The sequence below is a fragment of the Homo sapiens genome, chromosome 12, assembly GCF_000001405.40.
Source record: "Homo sapiens chromosome 12, GRCh38.p14 Primary Assembly".
Lineage (NCBI taxonomy): Eukaryota > Metazoa > Chordata > Mammalia > Primates > Hominidae > Homo > Homo sapiens.
In genome coordinates, this window is record NC_000012.12 from 68,671,934 (window position 1) to 68,696,417 (window position 24,484).

At 41.0% G+C, this 24,484-nt stretch overlaps 1 protein-coding gene, 1 long non-coding RNA gene and 1 pseudogene across 4 annotated transcripts in view, besides 1 other annotated feature; 2 read left to right on the forward strand and 1 right to left on the reverse strand.

Moving 5' to 3' along the window:
* Positions 1-2,437: 2,437 nt before the first annotated feature.
* Positions 2,438-14,926, reverse strand: LOC100507250 (uncharacterized). Its single transcript, NR_038930.1, has 3 exons — positions 14,804-14,926; positions 13,930-14,084; positions 2,438-3,888 (listed from the first exon to the last, which is right to left on the reverse strand). It is a non-coding gene; the product is annotated as an uncharacterized LOC100507250 (long non-coding RNA).
* Positions 8,487-8,600: a silencer, noted in NCBI's record as "fragment chr12:69074200-69074313 (GRCh37/hg19 assembly coordinates)". NCBI's record gives its function as "represses an EF-1alpha promoter that drives an FKBP-Casp9 reporter gene in an ReSE screen in phorbol 12-myristate 13-acetate-treated (for megakaryocytic differentiation) K562 erythroleukemia cells {active_cell/tissue: K562(+PMA)}" and the evidence as "EXISTENCE:reporter gene assay evidence [ECO:0000049][PMID:32094911]".
* Positions 13,847-14,375, forward strand: RPL7P42 (ribosomal protein L7 pseudogene 42; annotated as a pseudogene).
* The window catches only part of NUP107 (nucleoporin 107), a 58,832-nt gene continuing 49,392 nt past the window's right edge, over positions 15,045-24,484 (forward strand). For 2 of the 3 annotated variants that reach the window (NM_020401.4, XM_005269037.5), the window contains exons 1-5: positions 15,045-15,140; positions 17,029-17,120; positions 17,600-17,686; positions 18,698-18,813; positions 20,035-20,179. In NM_020401.4, the coding sequence (NP_065134.1) occupies positions 15,133-15,140; positions 17,029-17,120; positions 17,600-17,686; positions 18,698-18,813; positions 20,035-20,179 (448 nt within the window). In that variant the 5' untranslated portion in view covers positions 15,045-15,132. Of the gene's footprint in view, positions 15,141-17,028; positions 17,121-17,599; positions 17,687-18,669; positions 18,814-20,034; positions 20,180-24,484 lie in introns of all 3 variants that reach the window. The other variant, NM_001330192.2, reaches the window with a different exon arrangement.

Here is a 24,484-nt window from a genome sequence, read left to right on the forward strand (position 1 = left end):
TTAACATTGTTATGCTATCTTTGAGTAAAATTAATTTTAGAAATTTAAAAATAATTGTCATTATACTTAAACCTTATATTTAAACAAGAAAATAATTCAAAAAACCAAAGCAGTTTAACTTTCTTTCATTACCTGAAATTCAGCCTTTTTACACAGCTAGAGAACTTCAGTTGATCTTGTGAAGGACAAAGAAGCAGAAAGACTTCTCTAGGATGTTGGGTTTCCTAAAAGTTAAACTCAATCATTTAAAGTTGCAAATAGGTAGGCAGGATGGATTCTGAAGCACAGATTTCCCAAATGCCCTTTTTGCAGCAGATTCAGCTTCTAAACAAGTTTCAAGGGCAATGTTCATGATAGACGCAACTTTTTCTTAACATTATATTGCATTGTCAATATGTATTCCATCATTTTATGCTTTTCAATGCACTTCCATTTATAAAAGCCGCATAGTTTGCTCTTATATGCCAATATGTTTGTAGCTCAAAATATACTTGAAATATTTTAAGTCCGTTTGTGCTCTTGATTTATGAACTAAATATACTACATTTTCCATTGTTAAAATAACACCTTGGCTAGGTGTGGTGGCTCATGCCTATAATCCCAGTGCTTTGGGAGGCTGAGGCAAGAGGATCACTTGAGCCCAGGAGTTCAAGACCAGCCTGGGCAACATAGGGAGACTCTAGCTCTACAAAAAATTTAAAAATTAGCTGGATGCGGGGGCACATGCCTGTGGTTCCAGCCACCCAGGAGGCTGAGCCCAGGAGATCAAAGCTGCAGTGAGCCATGATCACGCCACTGTACTCCAGCCTGGGCAATAGAGCAAGACTCTGTCTCAAAAAAAAAATTAAAGACACCTTGAATATTCTGTTGTTTTTAAAGAGCAGATTCATAGGATCATAGATGCATGACGCATCTTCTTAAAGATACATTATCATAGATCCTCTAATTAGAAGATATTCACTTATAGACAAAGATATATATATATATATATATATATATATATATATAATTTTTCTTTTTTTTTGAGATAGAGTCTCGCTCTGTCACCCAGGCTGGAGTGCAATGGCGCCATCTCAGCTCACTGCAACCTCCGCCTCCCAGGTTCAAGCGATTCTCCTACCTCAGCCTCCTGAGGAGCTGGGATTACAGGCACGTGCCACCATGCCGGCTAATTTTATATTTTTAGTAGAGACGGGAATTTACCATGTTGGCCAGGCTGGTCTCGAACTGCTGACCTCATGATCCGCCACCTTAGTCTCCCAAAATGCTGGGATTACAGGCGTGAGCACTGCGCTCAACCTATATATATATATTTGAGATGGAGTTTCGCTCTCGTTTCCCAGGCTGGAGTGCAATGGTGCAATCTTGGCTCACTGCAACCTCCATCTCCCGGGTTCAAGTGATTTTCCTGCGTCAGACTCCCAAGTAGCTGGGATTACAGGCACACACCGCCATGCCTGGCTAATTTTTGTATTTTTTAGTAGACACGGGGTTTCACCATGATGGCCAGGTTTGTTTCGAACTTCTGACCTCAGGAGATCCACCCGCCTCAGCCTCCCAAAGTGCTGGTATTACAGGCATGAGCCACCACACCCAACCATATATATATCTTTAAAATGATTTATTTAGTTTGGCTTCCTCTTAAAAAACACCAGATTTTTGTTTGTGTATAAGTAGCAGTGATATTGCAAAGGAGTTAAATATCAGCAATGCGAAGCAAAACAGTGCTTTGAATGTATTTTAGGAGGAAACTGCAAAATATATATGTTTGGTTCAGATAGACCAGGTAGCATAAAAGATAGAAGAAACTGTTAAATTTCAAAAAGTTCATGAGTCAGGGGAGGAAAAAAATATTTGAGCCTGGAATGTGTAAGTTGTGTATGCCCTCAAAAACTCAGGTGTGCTATTTGAACTTCATGTATAGGAGAAAAGCTAATGGAAGGATTCAATAAGACAGATACGATTCTAGGAAAGGATGTGGTTGTGGTGATTATAGCAGGAAGCCATTGATTAAGTACATTATGTCTTTTCAGATATGGTTTTTTTTGGGGTGGCGAAGTGTCTGCTTTGAAGAAAAATGCATTACTTTAAGGTCAAACGGGGTCAGAGTTTAAATGTGGAGCCTGGTTGGTACTTGTTAAATTGCGTGTCTTCCCAGTTAAGCAGTGTGATGTAGTGGGTAGGATCATTGTCAGTTAACTTTTGGTGAGTTATTTCACCTCTTTACACTGCAGTTTTCTCTTCTGTAAAATTGAGAGAATAAGAATATTATCCTGAAAAATTTGCCCTGGGAACTAAATAATATTTATATAGCAGTTGAGATGTCATGCAGAACAAAAAGACTCCTTGAATTGAATTCTGGGTCCCCTACTTACTCTATGGAACCTTAGACAAATTATCTCTCTATGCCTTTGTAATTTTATGACAGAAATAATAGTACCTACCTCATAGATTTATTGTGAGGATTAAATTAGTTAACATACATAAATTGCTTAGGACAGGATTGGCATAGTTGGCATATAATAACAACTCAATAAACATTGGTTAATATTATAATGCACAACATATAATAAATATTCAATAAGTGTTTGCTATTTTATTCAACTCCAAGAAGGCAGGGACCATATCTATTTTATTCACATTCACCTGTTGACACTTGGTAAGTGCTCAATAAATTTTTCTTGAATGAGAAGGTCATTTTCAATCAATACACTTGCATACAATTTCTCAAAAATGACTCTAACAAGATTAATTTTAAAAATTCATCAGATTATTTTTTCATTTTCATTACATTCACATATAGATATTTCACAGTACTCTCTACCACTTCAAATGATGTCTCTATCATCATAATCTTGTGGTGTTTAGAAACAGGAAGAATCCTTGAACAATTTATTTTTTATAGCTTCTTTTCTTAATTCTTTCAAACTGTGTTCAATTTGAAGAGGAAAATAGAATGGTGAAGTATAAAACTTTCTAATTTCAAATTACTTATATTACTGAATTGTGATTTAAATGCTGACATCTGGGAGATTTTTAACATAAAATCATAAATACATTACTGCTTCTTAGAATTCTAATGCTAAGAGTTAGTTTTCATTGTGGCTTATGCTTCCAATGTCTTAAGCATAGAGTAGCTAGTGAGATTTTTGAGGTAGTGGTGAATTTGCTGACAAAAAGTTTGCCAGACAAATAAATCAATTGCAATGACTCTTCTTCACAGACATTTCAAGCCTCATCAGTAATGGAAATGATCTTGGGGCAACTGAAAAACTAAAATCATTATCCTCTGTTGATATAGGACATTATTCAGCTAAACCACAAAACTATTATTGCAACTTATGCATTTTGCTTTCCTGTTTTCACGTACTTCTCTGCTTGGCATAGAAATCCTGTAAATCCAACACACATCCACGTTTCTGTAAAGTGATTTATTAGGGCCCTTGGGAGAGCACTGTTTTGCTGTTTTCTCTAACTAGAACAATTTATACTCTATTTATATTTTATTATGCAAAGAATGTAGCTGGCATGAACCTTAACCCAAAAATCTGAGCAGACAAGAAAAGTCACATTAAAATTTTTCTCTTTTGTAGTTGTAGTTCTGACTGAGCCCTCATTCTGCCTGATTTGATGGGTTGAGGGCAGGAAATTCAACCTCACACATCATAGGGGCTGTCTCCTCTTCTCTAGGGTTTGCACAAACATTGGGGGGAAGGAGGCGTGGCTTCCGTGCTGCTAAGACACAGGAAAAGGCTTTTAGCTTTCAGTAGATTCTATCTACCTAATGCAGGTCATTGTCCAGGCCTCAGTGTTTGTCTGAAGATGGAAGGCATGTGCTATTCACATCCTGAATTAAGTAGAAGAGGGTGGGAGTGAGGCGGGGTGGGCCTGAAAATACAGAGAAAGCAAACAGACATCATTATCTGAATAAATAACTTTTTGAAAACAATGTAACAAATAATTAAAAATTTGAACGGATAATCAGTTACCATATATATATATATTATATATATTTATATATATATATAAAATTTTTAAAGCAAATACATTTATTTAAGAATAAAACATTGGCGCTGGGTGCGGTGGCTCATGCTTGTAATCCCAGCACTTTGGGAGGCCGAGGCGGGTGGATTACCTGAAGTCAGGAGTTCAAGACCAACCTGGCCAACATGGCGAAACCCCATCTCTACTAAAAAAAAAAAAAAAAAAAAAACTAGCCGGGTGTGGTGGCGCATGCCTGTAATCCCAGGTACTTAGGAGGCTGAGGCAGGAGAATTGCTTCAACCTGAGAGACAGAGGTTGCAGTGAGCCGAGATCGCGCCACTGCACTCCAGCCTGAGCAACAAGAGCAAAACTCCGTCTCAAAAAAAAAAAAAAAAAGAAAGAATAAAACATTGGGCGGGGCACGGTGACTCATTCATGCCTGTAATCCCAGCACTTTGGGAGGCTAAGGCAGGCAGCTTGCTTGAGCTCAGGAATTTGAGACGAGCTCAGGATTTCGAGACCAGCCTGGGCAACAAAGTGAAACCCAGTGTCTACAAAAAAATACAAAAATTAGCTGGGCATAGTGGTGTGCACCTGTAGTCCCAGCTACTTGGGAGGTTGAGGTGGGAGGATCGTTTGAGCCCAGGAGGAGTCGAGGCTACAGTGAGCCATGTTTGCGACACTGCACTCCAGCCTGAGTGACACAGTGAGATCCTGAGGAAGGGGAGGGGAGGGGAGGGCAGGGGAGGGGAAAGGAGAGAAGGGGAGAAGGAAAGAGGGAAGGAAGGAGGGAAGGAAGGAAGGAAGGAAGGTTGGAAGGGAAAGACAGGAAGGAAGGAAGGAAGCAAGGAAAAAGAAAAGAAAAGAGCATTGTTCAGGCACAAGGCCCTCAAGTTTGGTTTGTTTTTTTTAAAAAAAGAATAAAACATTGAAGAAAGAAAAAAGAAAAGAAAAGAAGGCAAAAGAAAGAAACCCAGCCAGGCATGGTGGCTTATGCCTATAATCCCAGCACTTTGGGAGGTCGAGGTGGGAGGATCACCTGTGGTCAGGAGTTCAAGACCAGCCTGACCAACATGGAGAAACCCCGTCTCTACTAAAAATACAAAATCAGCCAGGCATGGTGGCGCATGCCTGTAATCCCAGCTACTTGGGAGACTGTGGTAGGATAATCGCTTGAACCTGGGAGGCGGAGGTTGCAGTGAGCTGAGATTGCACCATTGCACTCCAGCCTGGGCAACAAGAGCAAATTCCATCTCAGAAAAAGAACAGGGGAGGGGGAGGGGAGGGGAGGGGATTGTTCAGGCACAAGACCTTCAAGTTTGTTTTTTTTTAAAAGATAAAACATTGCCCTGCACAACAATGTGAATGTATTTAATGTCAATGAACTACAAACTTAAAAGATGGTTAAAATGGTAAATTTTATGTACACATTACCACAATTTTTTTAAAGTAAATTAAAAGAGCTGGTCAACATCCAGGGAGGAAAAAAAAAGACTAAAACATTGCCGACCATGCGCTAATATCAATTTGCAAAATGTAAGTTTTACTAGTAATAGATTTTAAGTAAGAATATATATATATATATATAGAGAGAGAGAGAGTTTGTTTGTTTTGTTTTTGTTTGTTTTTGAGACAGGGTCTCGCTCTGTCGCCGAGGCTGGAGTGCAGTGGCGCGATCTCGGTTCACTGCAACCTCCGCCTCCAAGGTTCAAGCGATTCTCCTGCCTCAGTCTCCTGAGTAGCTGGGATTATAGGCATGCACCACCACACCCGCCTAATTTTTTATATTTTCAGTAGAGATAGGGATTCACCATGATGGCCAGGCTGGTCTCAAACTTCTGAGCTCAAGTGATCTTCCCACCTCGGCCTCCCAAAGTGCTGGGATTACAGGTGTGAGCCACTAGGCCCAGCCAATTCTATTACTTTAGATAAAAAGAATATTACTAAGTTATAATAGCATGTTTGCAATGTTTTGAGCTCAAAGAGGAAAATTCCCCAAATATTAAAATGAAAAAAATCACACCATCTTATATCTGAACAAGCTGTTAATAGTCTAAATACTTAATTTTGTTTTATATAAGCTTCTGTGTATCCTACAACTGTATTCAAGATTTTCCACTATCTTTTGAACATGGCAAAAGTATTTAAGCACCTGCTATAACTTAAATCACTAGACACACATCTGACTCACTGGAATTCTTAATGAACTTATTAAAATATTTATTTGAATTTCAATTGGATCTTGCTATGAAAATATATTGCTTTAAATAAAGCAAGGCATAGTGGGCCGGGTGCAGGGGCTCACTCCTGCAATCCCAGCACTTTGGGAGGCCGAGGCAGGAGGATCACTTGAGCCAGGAGACCAGCCAGCCTTGGCAACATAGTGAGACTCTGTCTACACACACACACACACACACACACAAAGGCTTTTGGTTTTTTGTTTTTTTTAATTAGCCAGGCATTGTGGTGTACACCTGTAGTCCTAGCTATTTGGGGGACTGAAGTGGGAGGATCACTTGAGCCCAGGAGGTCAATGCTGCAGTGAGTCATGATTGTGCCACTACACTCCAGCATGGACAACAAAACGAGACCCTTTCTCAAAAAACAAAACAAAACAAGGCATAGCCAAAGTCTCACCTAAGATGAGCACTATGAACTTTGGTATAATTTTTGTTCAGTATTGTTTTATACATTTTACATTGTTTCTGAGCATACTGATATATATAATATGGCAGTCTGCTTCCCTCATTTAAAGTAAAACATAAACATTTCCAAGTTATTACAAATGCTCTCTAAACTCCCTTTTAATGACTGCATAGCAGTCTATGACATGGTCTTGCTTTATTCCTCTTCTGCTTCTACTTAGTAGGAGCAGAGAAAATATGCCAAATGACTGTAGAATGTTTGGGGAGCTGTAGTTGAATATAGCTGGAATACAGAATTTGAGGCAGAGATAATAACAGGTAAATCACGTCCTGAAGGCTGAGTGTAGTAGTTTAAAGTTAAAATTGAGACTGGGAAGAAACTGAAAGGTGACAGTCAGATTTGCATATTTAGAAGATCATCCTCTTAGCAGTATAAAGAATGGAATTCGGTTGGAGGACCTACCTTAGAACAGTGAAGAGATGATGAGTTGGGACTGGAAATGAAGAAGGTAGCAATGGAAATGGGAAGACATATTTGAGATTTGGTGACAAAGTAGATGCAGGGGATGAGAGAAGAATAATTCAATTGACAAACAGAGAGATACAGCACCAAACAAAGATAAATATCTCTGCCCTCGTGGAACTTTAGTCCTACTGAGATTAAATTCCAGATTTTTGGCTAACTGGATATGGCCACTTGCCAAGACTAAAAAAAAAAAATATACAAGGAGAAGCAGGGTTGTTGTTGTATTGTTGTTTTGGTGAGGAGTGAGGGAGGGGCAGGTCTATTGAGTTCATGTTTAGAGTTAGAACATGTTAAGTTTCAGGTACCTTATATCTTCAAAGTGAATGTGTCTAGTAAGCCACCAGACGCATGAGTCTGGAATATAAAATTGAGATATGGGCTAGAATATAGATTGGAAATCTATTAGGAAACTGTCAGTAGTTTGAAGCCTGAAAATAATGCAGAACTGAGGAAGACAGGGCTTGGGTCTGAACTCTGGAAAAGATTAATTGATGTTTAAGGTAAAGGCAGATTTATAGAGCTCATAGAGAAGACTAGCCAAGAGAAGGCGGAGTGGACTAGGAGAAGCCCACTAACAAAATCATGACACCAAATGGCATGGGGGTACTAAGGAAGAGAGTGGTGAATGGTGTCAAATATTCTGGAGATGTTGAGAAATGAAAAATAAACTTTTCCTGGCAGAGATCATTGGTCACCTTAGTTAGTTTTCATTTACCAGTGAAGGTTGAAGTCAGACAGCATTAGGTCACCTTGTAAATGTAAATGGAGACAAAAAGGAAATATGACTCTTTCAAATTCTTTTGGTAAATTATGAATGATGTAGACAAATAATTTTGAAATGAAAAGATGTTCATGTTAAGTGAATAAGCAGATTGTAGAACAGTTTTACAATATAATTCCATTTGTTACAGTTTTCTGTTGCTACATAAAAAGCTACCACAAAATGTAGTGGCATAAATCAATATATTATTCACTCTCTTTGTTCTGTGGGTTAACTGGACTTAGCTGGGTAATTCTTGATGAGGGTATTTCGTGGAATTGTAGTCAGCTATAGTTAATGGAATCATAGGATTCTTTAATTTTTTCCTTTTGTTTATGTCTATTATCTTTTTGTAAGAGATACTTATACTGGATTTATAGTAAGAAAACCACTACTGGCTATTTACAATTTAGCAAAACAGATGTTTGGTTGAGAAGGGAATGAGAGAAAAAACAGCAGCTAGAAAGGGGCATCAGGTGAAAGGATGCTTTCTTTTGGAGGGGGTCTGGGGAAAGGACAGTTCAGCAGATTTTGAAACTGAGACAAAGAGACCTCATATACCATCCAATGTGATTAAGAAATACTTAGTAACATCTATGTAGTATTCCTGCACTCTGCTTTCCCCTCAATGTATTTTAAAGTGTTTATTGGCTGGGCGCAGTGGCTCACGCCTGTAATCCCAGCACTTTGGGAGGCCAAGGCAGACAGGTGGATCGCTTGAGCTCAGGAGTTCAAGACCTGCCTGGGTGACATGGCAAAACCCTAACTTAAAAACAAACAAACAAAAAAATTAGCCAGGCATGGTAGTGCACACCTGTAGTCCCAGCTACTTCAGGGGGCTGAAGCAAGAGGATCGCTTGAGCTGCAGTGAGCCATGTTCACACCACTGCACTTCAGCCTCGGTGACAAAGCAAGACCTTGTCTCAAAAAAAAAAAAAAGTTATAATGAGGAAACAATCAGAAATCCAAATGACTAAAAGAAAAAAAAAGTCTGGGGTACTATTCTAAGTTAAAGTAGAATAAAAAGACATGACAAATGCATAATCCAATATTCGATCCTATACTGGAGAGGGGCAGTTATAAAGGACATTATTGGGACAATGGGGGAAATTTGCATACATTAGTTGTGGCATTCTGTCACTATTAATTGTTCTGAGTGTTTGATTTGCTGTGACTAGGTAGGAGAATGTCTTGTCCTTGTTTTAGGAGTGTCAAATAAAAAAAGCTTCAACAAATCAAATTTTAAAGATTTAATTGGCTTTTACTAGAGATTCATGAATCAAGCAGCATCCCATCTACAAAATAGACAGAGCTGAGCAGAGGAGGTGTGCTTTATAGACATAAAAGAGCTGAAGAGGCAGGGCATGGTGGCTCATGCCTGTAATCCCAGCACTTCGGGAGGCCAAGCTGGGCGGATCATGAGGTCAGGAGTTTGAGACCAGCCTGGCCAACATGGTGAAACCCTGTCTCTGCTAAAAATAAAAAATTAGCTGAGTGTGGTGGCATGTGCCTGTAGCCCAGCTACTCGGGAGGCTGAGGCAGGGGAATCGCTTGAACCCAGGAGGCAGAGGTTGCAGTGAGCCAAGATCGCACCACTGTACTCCAGCCTGGGTGATAGAGCGAGACTGTCTCAAAAAAAAGAAAAGAAATGGGCTGAAGAAAGCTGAAATAAGGAAGAAAAAACAGGTTGATCATTTCAAAGCTACTTTCACACATGAGGTCAAAACAGACCTTAGTGGCTCAGGTAGACTGAGCCTCTTCTGATTAGTTGCCGTGAATCTCCTGTTTTTTGGAAAACTGGCCCATTCTTATGTGTGTGTGTGTGTGTGTGTGTGTGTGTGTGTTTCTTTTTCTTTTCTTTTTTTTTTTTTTTGAGACGGAGTCTTGCCCTGTCGACCAGGCTGGAGTGCAATGGTGCAATCTCAGCCTACTGCAACCTCCGCCTCCCAGGTTCAAGCAATTCTCCTGCCTCAGCCTCCCAAGTAGCTGGAATTACAGGTGCATGCCACCACGCACGGCTAATTTTTTGTATCTTTAGTAGAGATGCGGTTTCACCATGTTGGCCAGGCTGGTCTCGAACTCCTGACTTCATGATTTGCCTGCCTCGGCCTCCCAAAGTGCTGGGATTACAGGTGTGAGCCACCGCGCCCGACCTCTGACGGTGTCTTAACTGTGTTGCCCAGGCTGGATGGGCTCAAGCAATCCTCCTATCTCAACCTTCAGAGTAGCTGAGACTACAGACACTGTTTTAAAGTACAGTTTGATTACATGGATTTGGCATGAGCTCAGTCCAAAGCAATGCTCCCCACATCAATTTTATTTAACAGAAGATACATGCTGAAAAATTTAGGGGTGAAGTATCATAACTACAGCTAACTTTCACATGGTTCAGCCAAAACCAAAAAACAAAAAGACAGCAATTGTGGTGAAATATTGTATGTTGAGGTCTACTGTACTATTTTTTTTTTTTTTTTAGACCAAGTCTCGCTCTGTTGCCCAGGCTGGAGTGCAGTGGCGTGATCTTGGCTCACTGCAACCTCTGCCTCCCAGGTTCAAGTGATTTTCCTGCTTCAGCCTCCCAAGTAGCTGGGATTACAGGCACTCACCACCATGCCTGGCTAACTTTCTTTTGTATTTTTAGTAGAGGCGGGGTTTCACCATGTTGGCCAGGCTGGTCTCAAACTCCTGACCTCAGGTGATCCGCCCACCTTGGCCTTCCAAACTGCTGGGATTACAGGTGTGAGCCACTGCAGCCGGCCTTACTGTACTATTCTTATATAAGCTTTTCTGTAGGTTTGAAAATTTTCAAAATAAAAAGTAGGGAGGGGGTGAGCAAGGTGGCTTATCATCCTAGGACTTTGGGAGGTCGAAGCAGGAGGATCACTTGAGCCCAGAAGTCCCAGATGAGCCTGAACAACATAGTGAGACTCCATTTCTACAAAAACATAAATTAAAAAAATTAGCAATTAGCTAGGTGTGGTAGTGCGAGTCTGTAGTCCCAGGTACTCAGGAAGCTGAGGTGGGAAGATTGCTTGAGCCCAGAAGACTGAGGCTATAGTGACCCAAGATTGCGCCACTGAACTCCAGCCTGAGTGATCCAAAGAGCCTGTTTCTTTTTTCTTTTCCCTTTTTTTTTTTTGAGACGGAGTGTTGCTCTCTCGCCCAGGCTGGAGTGCAATGGTGCAGTCTCGGCTCACTGCAACCTCCGCCTCCTGGGTTCAAGTGATTCTCTTGCCTCAGCCTCCAGAGTAACTGGGATTACAGGGGTCCATCACCATGCCTGGCTAATGTTTATATTTTTAGTAGAGATGGGGTTTCACCATGTTGGCCAGGATGATCTCGAACTGCTGACCTCGTGAGTCGCCCACCTCGGCCTCCCAAAGTGCTGGGATTACAGGCGTGAGCCACTGCACCTGGCCCAAAGAGCCTGTTTCCAAAAAAAAAAAAAAAAAAAAACTTGGGGTGGGGTGGTGGGGGTACAAATAATGATATTTGATGCCTCAGCTGTTGGGGATAAGGGAGGTGAAGGATGCTCTGGAGCAAACAGTTGGAGTTTGAGTGTCTTTGGGAAAGACGCTTCCTGGCCTTCAGCTCCTGAGGAGCTGTGCTATCCCAGACCTTTTCTCCAGTTTCTTAACAATTCCAAGATCTCCTGATGTGCTTCCAGTAAATTCCCTTTTGTTTAAGTTAACCATAGTCAATTTCTGTCATTGCAACCAAGAATACTAAACATAAAGCTACCATGTATACAATATACACCACATAAGAAATTTATTCCACATCCTTTTAAGGTAATGAAATGAATATGTTTTGAAATTTTGGCAGGGTTGCTATGGTGTTCATGCCTACTAATTAAATGTGTCAAAAGTGAAACCCAGTGCACTTTCCAAAAAGTTTTCCATCTTTGCATATGAACTGAACACAGGGCTAATTTTTTTGCCCCAAACACAGGGCTAATTTTTATTGTGTGCTTCATGGTCAATCACCTCAAGTACACTTCAAGTATACTACACGAATAAAACTCATTGGAATTCAACTGCTGAGGGACACAGAGCAAGAACATGAACCACAGATCATACTTTGAATAAACTTGCCCCAGCTCTGATTAGGACTACATTTCACTTTCCATAAGAAAAAGTGAACTTGTATACAGGAAAATTAGGAGGTGGGAGAATGAGACCATGCCAGGGCATTATTCTTCAGAAAGGTTATTAAAGGAGAAAAGTAACATTTCAATGACCTGCTATGTACAGTGTATACAGTTGATGTCTCTGTTTTTTTTGTTTGTCTGTTTTGTTTTTTTGAGACAAAGTCTCACTTTTTCATCCAGGCTGGAGTGCAGTGGCATGATCATAGCTCATTGCAGCCTCGGCCTGCCAGGATCAAGTGATCCTCCTGCCTCAGCCTCCCAAGTAGCTGGGACCACAGGCACGTGTCACCACACGTGGCTAATTTTTAAAACTTATGTTAGAGACAGGGACTCCCTATGACATCTTGTTTAATCCTCACAACACCCCCTGACAAAGGTATTGTTTTCTCCACTCTACAGATGAGGAATCTGCAGGTGCAGGGGGGTTGAACCTAGATGGAGCCCAAAGCAATGTTTTTATCAAAATGCCATGTTGTCTGAGAGGGGATAATAAGGTATGAAGAGGCCTTCCGGGGAACTATGCTTCCCAGAATTACAGCAGAACATAAATGCCTAAGGCAAAACTTCCACTGATTTCCTCTTTCCCAGCTGAAACCATGGAGGGTATTGAAGACAAGAAAAAGAAGATTCCTGCTGTGCCAGAAACCCTTTAAAAATGTGAGGGAAGGCTGGGCACTGTGGTTCATGCCTGTAATCCCAGCACTTTGGGAGGCCGAGGCGGGTGGATCATGAGGTCAGGAGTTCGAGACCAGCCTGGCCAGCATGGTGAAACCCCGCCTCTACTAAAAATACAAAAATTAGCTGGGCATGGTGGTGCACGCCTGTAATCCCAGCTACTTGGGAGGCTGATGTACAAGAATCGCTTGAACCGGGGAGGCAGAGGTTTCAGTGAGCCAAGATTGCATCACTGCACTCCAGCCTGGGCAAAAGGGCAAGACTCTGTCTCAAAAAATAAAAATAAAACACATGAAGGAATTTCACAGAGCTAAAGGTCAAGTGCCTGAGAAAGAAGTTTGCCCATAAAATGCTTTGAAAAGAAAGGAGAAGGCCAGGCGCAGTGGCTCACGCCTGTAATCCCAGCACTTTGGGAGGCTGAGGCAGGTGAATCACCTGAGGTCAGGAGTTCAAGACCAGCCTGGACAACATGGTGAAACCCCATCTCTACCAAAAACGCAAAAATTAGCCGGGTGTGGTGGCAGACACCTGTAATCCCAGCTACTCAGGAGGCTGAGGCAGGAGAATCGCTTGAACCCAGGAGGCAGAGGTTGCAGTGAGCCGAGATGGCACCACTGCACTCCAGCCTGGGCAATGGAATGAGACTCCATCTCGAAAAAAAAGAAAAAGAAAAGCAAGGAGAAAGCTACATCTATGAAAAAGCTAGGCACTGTCAGATGTGGTGGCTAACCCCTGTAATCCCAGCACTTTGGGAGACCCAGGTAAGAGGATGGCTTGAGCCCAAGAGTTTGAGACCAGCCTGGGCAACAACATAAGACCCCATTTCTCCAAAATATTTTTAAAAAACGGGGGAGGAGAGGAGGTCAGGCATGGTGGTGCGTGCCTGTGGTCCCAGCAACCTCAGGTACTAGGGAGGCTGAGGTAGGAGGATTGCTGGAGCCCAGGAGGTCAAGGCTGCAGTGAGCCGTGACTGTGCCACTGCACGTAAGCCGGGACAATAGGACAAGATCCTGTCTCAAAAAAAAAAAAAACAAAGAAAGAAGGAAGGAAGGAAACATAATTTAAAAAATCAAGTCCAAAAAAAAGCAAGCAAGAAGTAAAAAAAAAAAGCTCAGCACTGTCACAAGAAATATATGGCAAGAAAAGCTGGCAATTTCTATATACCTGTGAAACCCAAATTGTCACTTGCCTTAAGGATCAAATGTATCAATGGTGTGAGCCCAAAACTCTGTTGCAACTTCTTCACTTTCCCCAGATCTTCAATGGCAGCTTTGTTAAACTCAACAAGGCTTCAGTTAACACGCTGAGGATTGTGGAACCATATATCACATGGAGTACCTGAACCTGAAATCAGTAAATGAACTGATCTACAAATTGGTTATGGCAAAATCAATAAACAAATTACCTTAACAGATAACGCTTTGATTGCTAGATTTCCTGATAAATATGGCATCATCTGACTGGAGAATCTGATTCATGAGATCTATGCTGTTGAAAAACTCAAGTTCCTGTGATCCTTCAAATTATCTTCTCCACGAGGGAGAATGAAGGACTACCTATTTTGTATTAATAAAAGGTATAAATGCCAGCAACAGAAAAGACTATATCAACAGGCTTATTAAACGGATAAACTGAAGCATCTAACATTATTTTTGTAATCTGGTCAGTTAATAGCCAGTCACTACTTTCAAACTGGAAAAAACAAAAACCAAAACAAAAATGTGACTGACTCCTTCAAGACCAAAATACACCACTTTTTGCCTAGACGGCACTTTGAAATAGAGGGCAATACCATCATATTTCACGCTTGCCTTTCTACTTTTTAATACAGGTGAACTTTTTCTCCTTAATAGGAAAGAACACCAAGTAAAGAACAAATAGCAGTTATGGAAAATAGTTGCAAAAACTGCAGGGGGCTACAGAACAAAGGACTGAGTGTAGGCAGAGAGATAGAGATCCCCGAGGTGTGGGGCAGAGCCCACGCATCTGAATTCCAAGAACAGGCGCTTTCTGACAGAGAATACCAGGAAATGACTTCACATTTTTCCAGACTATCAACATACTTCATTCTTCCCAGTAGGAGAACCCAGGGCCTGTTCCACGCCCACAGACTTTGGTCAGGCAAAGCGGCCGCAGGGCGTCTGGGCTAAACGCAACCAGGAACACATTGGCAAACTTTTGCGCCTGCGCCCACCGGGCGTGCACCTGTAGGCTGAAGTCGCGCATGCGCTAGATGGGAACGTTGTTTCTTCTCCCCTACCCCTTTTCTGTGGGTCTGTTTTAGGGACAGACTGCTTCCGGGTCGAAGGGCTTGCTTCCGGAGAGCGGGAAGGCTAAAACGCGGTAGCTAAACTGCAGCCAACTTTGGTTGTGTGTGGAAAAGGCTTTAGCCATGGACAGGTCAGTACTGATGGTGGCAGCTGAGCCCGAAGTCTTGCCCGTCTCGCCTGTTGGCGAAACGAAATAGGTGAAACTAGACTCCCAGAAGAAGCCAAGGAGGTCCCGGGTGCTTCCCCTAAGGCTCCTTCCCCATGCCGGGAAATTTGGCCACAAATGGGGAAAAAGCCGCTTGGCGTGCGTCGGGGTGGGGTACAGATCATAATAGTCCCTTACTTTCCCACTACGTTCTGCGATCTATTCGGCGCTTTGGGGCAGCAACACTGTTCGCTCCTGGGGTGGGCGGGGTAGGTAGCGCGGCGTTCGAAATGCTAAGTGACCAGCCTGAGATCACAAAGCCAGTCAGTGAAGATACTGGGATCTCAGCCCAGACTTTCTGATTACAAGTGCCAGCATCAGATTCTGAGTTCCCTCTATGATCTGGGTACTGTGCTAGCCGCCTACAACAAAGATCAGTTATTCAAGATCCTTCCCCTCGGGGAATTAGTTGTGTAATGGAGACAACCAAGCAGTGTAAAGTGGTAAGTGTTTGGGGGCGATTAAGTCTCCTTGTCACTGTAACTATCAGGAAGACCCCTCAAAGAAGGTAACTTTCTAGCTGGTCTTTGAATAATAAGAGTACATTATTCGTACTCCAAACATTGAGTACCTACTATGTGACTGCCATTGTTCTAAAGGCGTTGAATATATATTATTAGCTTATTTAATCTTCAGAACAAGAAAAATCCTATGAGATGGGTACTGTTATCCTTTTTTCATATATAACACTGAGACTAAAAGAGGTTAAGGAACTTGCTGAAAGTTCGGAAGCTAATAAATACAAGAACCAAATTGCCAACCTGCATCTGTGTGTCTCCAGCCTACCTGAGGCTCTTTGAGGAGTAAGTAGTTGTTGACCAGGTGCTCAAGGGGGCAAATGTAGGTCTTTGTAAAAGAAGCATATTCAGAGGTGCTAGGATATGAAAAAAAAGTACGTGTAGCTCAGTGGTCACATGCAGTATACGTTTAAAGTGATGTTTGTGGCTGAATAGAAGACTGAACCCCTAAACTGGGGTCACATTGTAAATATCATTTTAGGAAATTTTTACTTCTATAGACCAGAGAGCTATCTGAAGGTTTTTTTTTTTGTTTTTAATTTTAATTGTTAAACGTTTAAAATTGTTTCTATGTGGTTGTTTCCCATACTTTCCTGCTGAAGGAATATCTGAAGGTTTTAAGTGGAGGAAAAGCATATTAGATTCTTGTCTTAAACACAGGCCTTTTAGTCCGCACAATTTAGTTTCTAGACCTTTGAGTGAAACTGACAGGGAGTGTTGTGATGGGACAGGAGACCTCCTGGGTTGAAATAACTTGAAGGGTCATTTTGCTCCAATTTACCACAATTCTTTTACTTACCCTTCTATCTCACAAGCTCTGTTTGTTGTTGTTGTTGCAAGCTCTGTTTGTTGTTGTTGTTGTTTGTTTGTTTTTTAATAGTACCCATGGTTTAAAGCATTTTGGAGACTGCAGAAAATCTTTTAAGAGAGAATTCCTGCAGTTAGGTAACTCCTCAATCCAACAAGGGAAATAAGATTCACTTTCATGAAGCAATTATCTAAAACAGTGTTATAATATAGATTCCAAGTGTTGAAATAATTCCTTAGGAGAAAATAACATAGTGAGTACTAGAAAGTCAGAGAAGTCTTTGTGCAGGTAAGATTTGAGTAAGGCTTTGAAGAATAAGCAGGATTTGGAGCCAGGAGTGCGTTCTCAACAAAAGATCTAAGACTTGGCTACTAGAATGACTATACCTTAACTTACTCAGGGTCCTTTACTCCAACTGTGATGATAAAATTCTTTATAAATGCTATATTCTCGTTTCACTTATATAAGCTTGATTATACTACTTTAGGAGTGGCTTTGGAGAGATATCATCCCCTGTAATCCGGGAGGCAGAGGTGACACGGACTGCACGGAAACAGAGTGCTCAGAAAAGAGTTTTACGTATCCTTTGCGATTTAAGCATCATTATAAAAATTGTAACATGTTTGGAATCAGTGTTGTAGAATTTTCTTTTTATAAGAGTATTAAATGGTAGCTATAATAAAATCCTGTAGAAACTTTTTTTCACTCCACAGAGCTGTCATTTGGTAAATATAATGCAAAAATTTAATGAGATCGTATTTCCCTAAAAATAAAGATATTTCTTACTGCTGACAGCTTCTGCTGAGATTAGATTTCTTTTTATTATTTGAAAACTGACTAAAAACATTTAGTTCAGTGTGTAGTTATCTAAGACTGACATCTGATCATTTAAATGGCAGAAGCAATGAATTATTTACCCTTTGCATTGAAAAATGGTAGCCCTAAAATACTTGTTCTTGAAAAATGTATTCACATAATTTGTATAGTAAAAAGATGGTTAATTCTCATTTTAGTGATCTCTTTTCTACATGGAAAACTTTTCTTAACTCGTTGTACAGTTCAGGCATCTCAAGATGAAAATTTTGGTAATACTACACCAAGAAACCAGGTTATCCCTCGAACTCCTAGCTCATTTCGACAGCCTTGTAAGATTTTTTGCTTTTAAAGCATTTAATAATAACGGTAATTATAATAGCAACTAACATTTATTGTAACATAATTAGTATAGTATTTGGTTACGATATCAATAAGCACTAATAATAATGATTGCAGTTATTATTCGTTTGAACTCTTGCCATGTACAAGGTACTGTACTTTCCATAAACACACGGTAACTATGACATGGGTATTGTTGGCCCTGTTTTACCAAAACTGAAAGTGAGACTTAGAGAAGTTAACTAATATATACAATAAGTATGTAAATAGGCTGGATGCAGTGGCCCATGCCTATAATCTCAACACTTTGGGAGGCCAAGGTGGGTGGATCACTTAAGGCCAGGAGTTCAAGACTAGCTTGGCCAACATGGCAAAACCCTATCTCTACTAAAAATACAAAAATTAGCTGGCGTGGTGGCACATGCCTGTAATCCCAGCTACTCCGGAGGGTGAGGCAGGAGAATTGCTTGAACCCGGAAGGCAGAGGTTGCAGTGAGCTGAGATTGTGCCACTGTACTCCAGCTGGGGCGACAGAGCAAAAAAAAAAAAAATCCCAGTTCCATTATTTACATACTCTTTTTTTGTTCTGAGACAGAAAAAAAAGAGTATGTAAATAATGGAACTGGGATTCAAACAATGATCTGTTTACTCCAAAGTTTATGCCCACTACACTGCACTGCCTCAGTATGCCTTATAAAATTAAAATATGAAGAATCCGTTGACTGATTAGTGTCTTTAACTGCTCAGTTATTCTATAATGAAAGCATCTGTAATTGCAGTAAAATGTTTCCTGTTAGGCTCAGTAGTACCTACAGCTCAAATTTAGAAAAATAAGTTAAATCCTTGTATCATGGAAATGTTAACATTTAAAGTATTTATTTGGTTAGAGTCTAAATAATGGAAAACTGAAAAATTTATTCTTCATTGTTTGTTTGCTTACTTTGTTTTGATAATGAATGCTCACGCACTTTAGGTTCTTTCTACCAACCTTTTGTTTATAGTTACCCCAACAAGCCGAAGCTTACTAAGGCAGCCAGATATTTCCTGCATTCTTGGAACAGGAGGGAAGTCGCCCCGACTTACGCAGTCTTCAGGGTTCTTTGGAAATCTCTCCATGGTATGTAGAAAAATAGGGCTAAGAACTCCTTTTGGGTCGAGTGTGGTGGCTCACATCTGTAATCTCAGCACTCCCTGAACTCCTGACCTCAAGTGATTCTCCCGCCTTGGCCTCCCAGAAGTCAGGAGTTTGAGACTAGCCTGCTTAGCATGATAAAACCCTGTCTCTACTAACAATAAAAAAATTAGCTGGGAGTGGTGGCTTATGCCTGTAATCCTAGCTGCTCGGGAGGCTGAGGTGTGAGAATTGCTTGAACCCAGGAGGCAGAGGTTGCAGTGACCTGTGATTGCAAAAGAAAAAAAAAAGAGAAAAAAGAACTTCTCCCTTTTTATAAAAATATGATATTTGATGTAAAAGTCTTTTAACAAATATTGAGTCAGAATCATCATAACAGTAACTTTAGGTTATATGGATTGAAATAATTAGACAGTAAAAAAACTGAAAACCTTATGCATCTGATATCACAGATGGAAACTGTGACACCAGCAACCTTTAGATGAAAATAAGATGTTTTAATCTGTCAGTTTGCTGACCAGAAGAAGTACATGCTGTGGTTGGTTGCTGATGGCTATAAAATCTGATCCCTGTTTTGAAGCATACAAGAGTAGGAATCAGAGGTTAACAGATGAAGAATATCTTAAGGAAGAGATAAAATGTATTAAAGGGGATAAAAGAGAAAATTGGAAAAAGTAGGTGAGATACTCTTTAGGAATCACTATGGAACAGTATTAAAAATAGCAAAAGAAATGTTATGTAAGCTGTGATGCAGAATGACTTCACCTAAGTATTAAAAATACACTATAGTAGCCGGGCATGGTGGCTCACATCTGTAATCCCAGCATTTTGGGAGGCTGAGGCAGGTGGATCACATGAGGCCAGGAATTTGAGACCAGCCTGGCCAACATGGTGAAACCCCATACCTACCAAAAATACAAAAATTAGCCAGGCGTGGTGGCACGTGCCTGTAGTCCCAGCTACTTGGGAGGCTGAAGTGGGAAGATGGCTTGAGCCTGAGAGGCAAAGGTTGCGTTGAGCCATGATCGTGCCACTGAACTCCAGCCTGGGCAACAGATCCAGACCTTATCTCAAGAAGGGAAAAAAAAAAAAAAAGACGCATACATACATATAATTTTTAGAAACCTTATTTGTTTTTAAAGTATCCACTCAGTGACAATAACTCCATCACTTTTCTGTATTTTTACTTTTTTGTTTTTTTTTAAGGTTACTAATCTGGATGACAGTAACTGGGCAGCTGCATTTTCATCACAGCGTTCCGGGCTGTTCACAAACACAGAGCCCCACAGTATAACAGAAGATGTAACTATCAGTGCTGTTATGTTACGTGAGGATGATCCTGGAGAAGCTGGTAAAATGGCATTGAGCTTTGTGACAAGTAGCTTTTCACTTTAGCAAGATGAAGGAAACCATTTCTTCCTGTTTCTGAACGTCATTATGTTTTTCTTTTCTTTCTTTCTGTCTTTTTTTCTTGAGAGAGTAGCTTAAACAACAGATTTTTGTGTGTGTGTTTTTTGAGACAAGAGTCTCACTCTGTTGCCGGGCGCGGTGGCTCATGCCTATAATCCTAGCACTTTGAGAGGCCGAGGCGGGCAGATCACGAGGTCAGGAGTTCAAGACCAGCCTGGCCAACATGGTGAAACCTCGTCTCTACTAAAAATACAAAAATTAGTTGGGTATGGTGGTGCACACCTGTAATCCCAGCTACTTGAGAGGCTGAGGCAGGAGAATCGCTTGAACCCGGGAGGCAGAGTTTGCAGTGAGCTGAGATCGCACCATTGCACTCCAGCCTGGGCTACAGAGCAAGACTCCGTCTAAAAAAAAAAAACAAAAAAAAAAACAGTCACTCTGTCACCCAGGCTAAATGCAGAAATGCAGTGGCACAATCATGGCTCACTGCAGCCTTAACCTCCCAGGCTTAAGCAATTCTGCAGCCTCAGCCTCCTGAATAGTTGGGACTGCAGGCATGTACCACCATGCCTAGCTAATTTTTTTTTTTTTTTTTTGAGATGGAGTCTCGCTCTGTCACCCAGACTGGAGTGGAGTGATGGGATCTTGGTTCACTGCAACCTCCGCCTCCCAGGTTTAAATGATTCTCCTGCCTCAGTCTCCAGAGTAGCTGGGATTATAGGCGTCTGCTACCACACCCGGCTAATTTTTGTATTTTTAGTAGAAACGGGGTTTTGCCATGTTGGCCAGGCTTGTCTCAAACTCCTGACCATGGGTGATCCACCCGCCTTGGCCTCCCAAAGTGCTGGGATTACAGGTGTGAGCCACTGCGCCTGGCCGCCAGCTAATTTTTTATTTATTTATTTATTTATTTATTTTTTTTTTTAGACGGAGTCTCACTCTGTTGCCCAGACTGGAGTGCAGTGGTGCAATCTCGGCTCACTGCAACCTCTACCTGCTGTATTCAAGTGATTCTCCTGCCTCAGTCTCCTGAGTAGCTGAGATTACAGGTGCCCACCACCACGCCTGGCTAATTTTTGTATTTTTAGTAGAGAGAGGTTTCACCATTTTGGCCAGGCTGATCTCGAACTCCTGACCTCAAGTGATCCGTCCTCCTCAGCCTCCCAAAGTCCTGAGATTACAGGCGTAAGCCACTGTGCCCAGCCTAATTTTTTATTTCTTTATAGAGACAGGGTCTACAAAGACCAGCCCAGGCTGGTCTCAAACTCCTGGACACAAGTGATCCTACCGCCTCAGCCTCTCAAAGTGCTGGGATTATAGGCAACAACATAAATTTATTTTCTCACAATTCTGGAGCCTAGATGTCTGAGTTAAAGGTCTTGGCAGGGTTGGTTTTCTCTGAAGCCTCTTCTCTTGGCTTACAGATGGCTGTCTTCCTCCTGTGTCTTCATCTGGTCTTCTGTCTATAATATATTTTTCCTTAAGCTAATTAGTTGTGGTTATGGCAATGGTATTTGATACAGTATCACTAGAAGGTTGAGAACCTCACCTTGGTTCTCAGTCTGAGCAGCATCTTGCCATTTTATCTTTTAATGTAAATAGCAGCCTGTTACGTTATTAGACAAGTCTCATATTGTAATTTTTTTCTTATTTGTGCTGTTGAAAGAGCATCTCTTTCTTTAGGTTTAGTTCTTAATCTAACATTGTTGATGTGTTTTGTTTTCTCCTGGACCGTAATGCTGTTATTTTTTTTCAGATAGTGTTATGACCACTGTACAAGCATTAACTCATGTAATCCTTATGGTGGTCCATTAAATAGTTACAATAATTATTCCCATTTTAGAGAAAAGGAAACTACTGCTCAAAGTGGTTAAGTAACTTACCTCAAACCACCTGGCTAGGAAGTAGTGGTACCAGGATTTGAAACTAAGCAGTTTAGCTCCAGAGCCCTGCTCTTAACACTTTGGTAACTACTACTTTCTTGTAGTATCTGTCAAAAACAGGTACTCGTATTAAGTGACTCAAAATACTTTCTACTTAGGCCAAGTGCCTGTATTTTCCCAGAGTGGAACATGCCATTTAGTATGTATTATAACTTTCTCCACTACTTTGTAATGGTGTGCTTAAAATATAATTCAGATATTTTTAAATCTGGCTCAATTTCTTAAGTAATTGTTTATAAAATAACTAGTATATCTTTGAGATCTTAAAAGACCTTTAGGTATCAAAAGAAAAAATAGATAAATTGGGCTACATCAAAATTTTAAACTTTTGTGCACGAAAGAATACAATCAGCAAAGTGAAAAGGCAACCCACAGAATGAGAGAAAATATTTGCAAATCATATATCTGCTTAGGGGTTAATATCCAAAATGTATAAAAACTGCTACAACTCAACAACAAAAAAACAACCCAATTTAAAAATGAGCAAAGAAATAGAATAGACAGAGGCTGGACGCAGTGGCTGATGCCTGTAATCCCAGCAATTTGGGAGGCTGACGCGGGTGGATCACCTGAGGTTGGGAGTTCGAGACCAGCCTGACCAATGTGGAGAAACCCTCTCCCTACTAAAAATACAAAATTAGCTGGGCATGGTGGCGAATGCCTGTAATCGCAGCTACTCGGGAGACTGAGGCAGGAGACTCGCTTGAGCCCGGGAGGCAGAGGTTGCGGTGAGCTGAGATCATGCCATTGCACCTCCATCCTGGGCAACAAGAGCGAAACTTCATCTCAAAAAAGAAAGAGAGAAAGAAAGAAATAGAATAGACACTGTTCTAAAGAAGATTCACAAATGACCAGTAAGCACATGAAAATATACTCAAATGTCACTAATCATTAGGAAAATCCAAATCAGAACTACAGTGAGTTACAAGATACTGCCTTACACCCGTTAGTGTGGCTACTGAAAAACAAACAAACCAACAACAAGAACAAAAACCCAGAAAATAACAAGTATTGACAACAATGTGGAGAAATTCAAATCCTTGTGCACTATTGGTTGGAATGTAAAATAGTACAGCTGCTATGGAAAACAGTATGGCAGTTCCTCAAAAAATTAAAAATAGAATTACCATATGATCCAGCAAACCTGCCTCTGGGTATATATCCAAAAGATTGGAAAGCAGAGTCTCAAAGAAATATTTGTACATGCATGTTCATAGCATGATTCATAGTAGCCAAAAGGTAGAAGCAAGCCAAGTACCTGTTGATAGATGAATGGGGGAAACAAAATGTGATCTATACATACAGTGGAATATTATTCAGCCAAATATGAAGGACATTCTGACACATGCTACAACATGGATGAACCTTGAGAACATTATGCTAAGTGAAATAAACCAGTCACAAAAGGGCAATACTCTATGGTTCCACTTACATGAGATATTTAGAATAGTCAACACATGTAGGGACAGAAAGTAGATGGATAGTTGTCAGGGGCTGGGGTAAGTGGAGAGTGGGGAGTTAATGTTTATTAAGTACAGAGTTTCAGTATTACAAGATGAAATAGTTCTGTGGATACATAGTGGTGATGGTAGCACAACAATGTGAATGTACTTACTGACACTGAACTATACACTTAAAAATGATTAAGCCAGGGATAGTGGCTCATGCCTTTAATCCTACCACTTTGGGATGCTGAGACAGGAGTTAGCAAGACCCTGTCTCTACAGACTAATAAAAAATTAGCTGGGCATGGTGGCTGGTATATACCTATAGTCCCAGCTACTGGGGAGGCTGAGGTGGGAGGATCACTTGAACCTAGGAGTTTGAGGCTATAGTGAGCCATGATTGCACCACTGTACTCCAGCCTAGGTGACAGAGCAAGATCCCCCTCTCTTAAAAAAAAAAAAAAGAAAAATGATTAAGATAAATTTTATATTATGTGTATCTTGCCAATTAAAAAAAATTTTGAGGCTGGGTGCGGTGGCTCACGCTTATAATCCCAACACTTTGGGAGGCCAAGGTGGGCGGATCATGAGGTCAGGAAATCAAGACCATCCTGGCTAACACAGTGAAACCTCGTCTCTACTAAAAATACAACAAGTTGGCTGGGCATGGTGGCACGCACCTGTAGTCCCAGCTACTTGAGAGGCTGAGGCAGGAGCACCGCTTGAACCTGGGAGGTGGAGGTTGCAGTGAGCTGAGATTGCGCCACTGCACTCCAGCCTGGGTGACAGAGTGAGACTCTGTCTCAATTTTTTTTTTTTTAATATAGCAGTGAATTTATAAAAGACTTGTAGCCATTT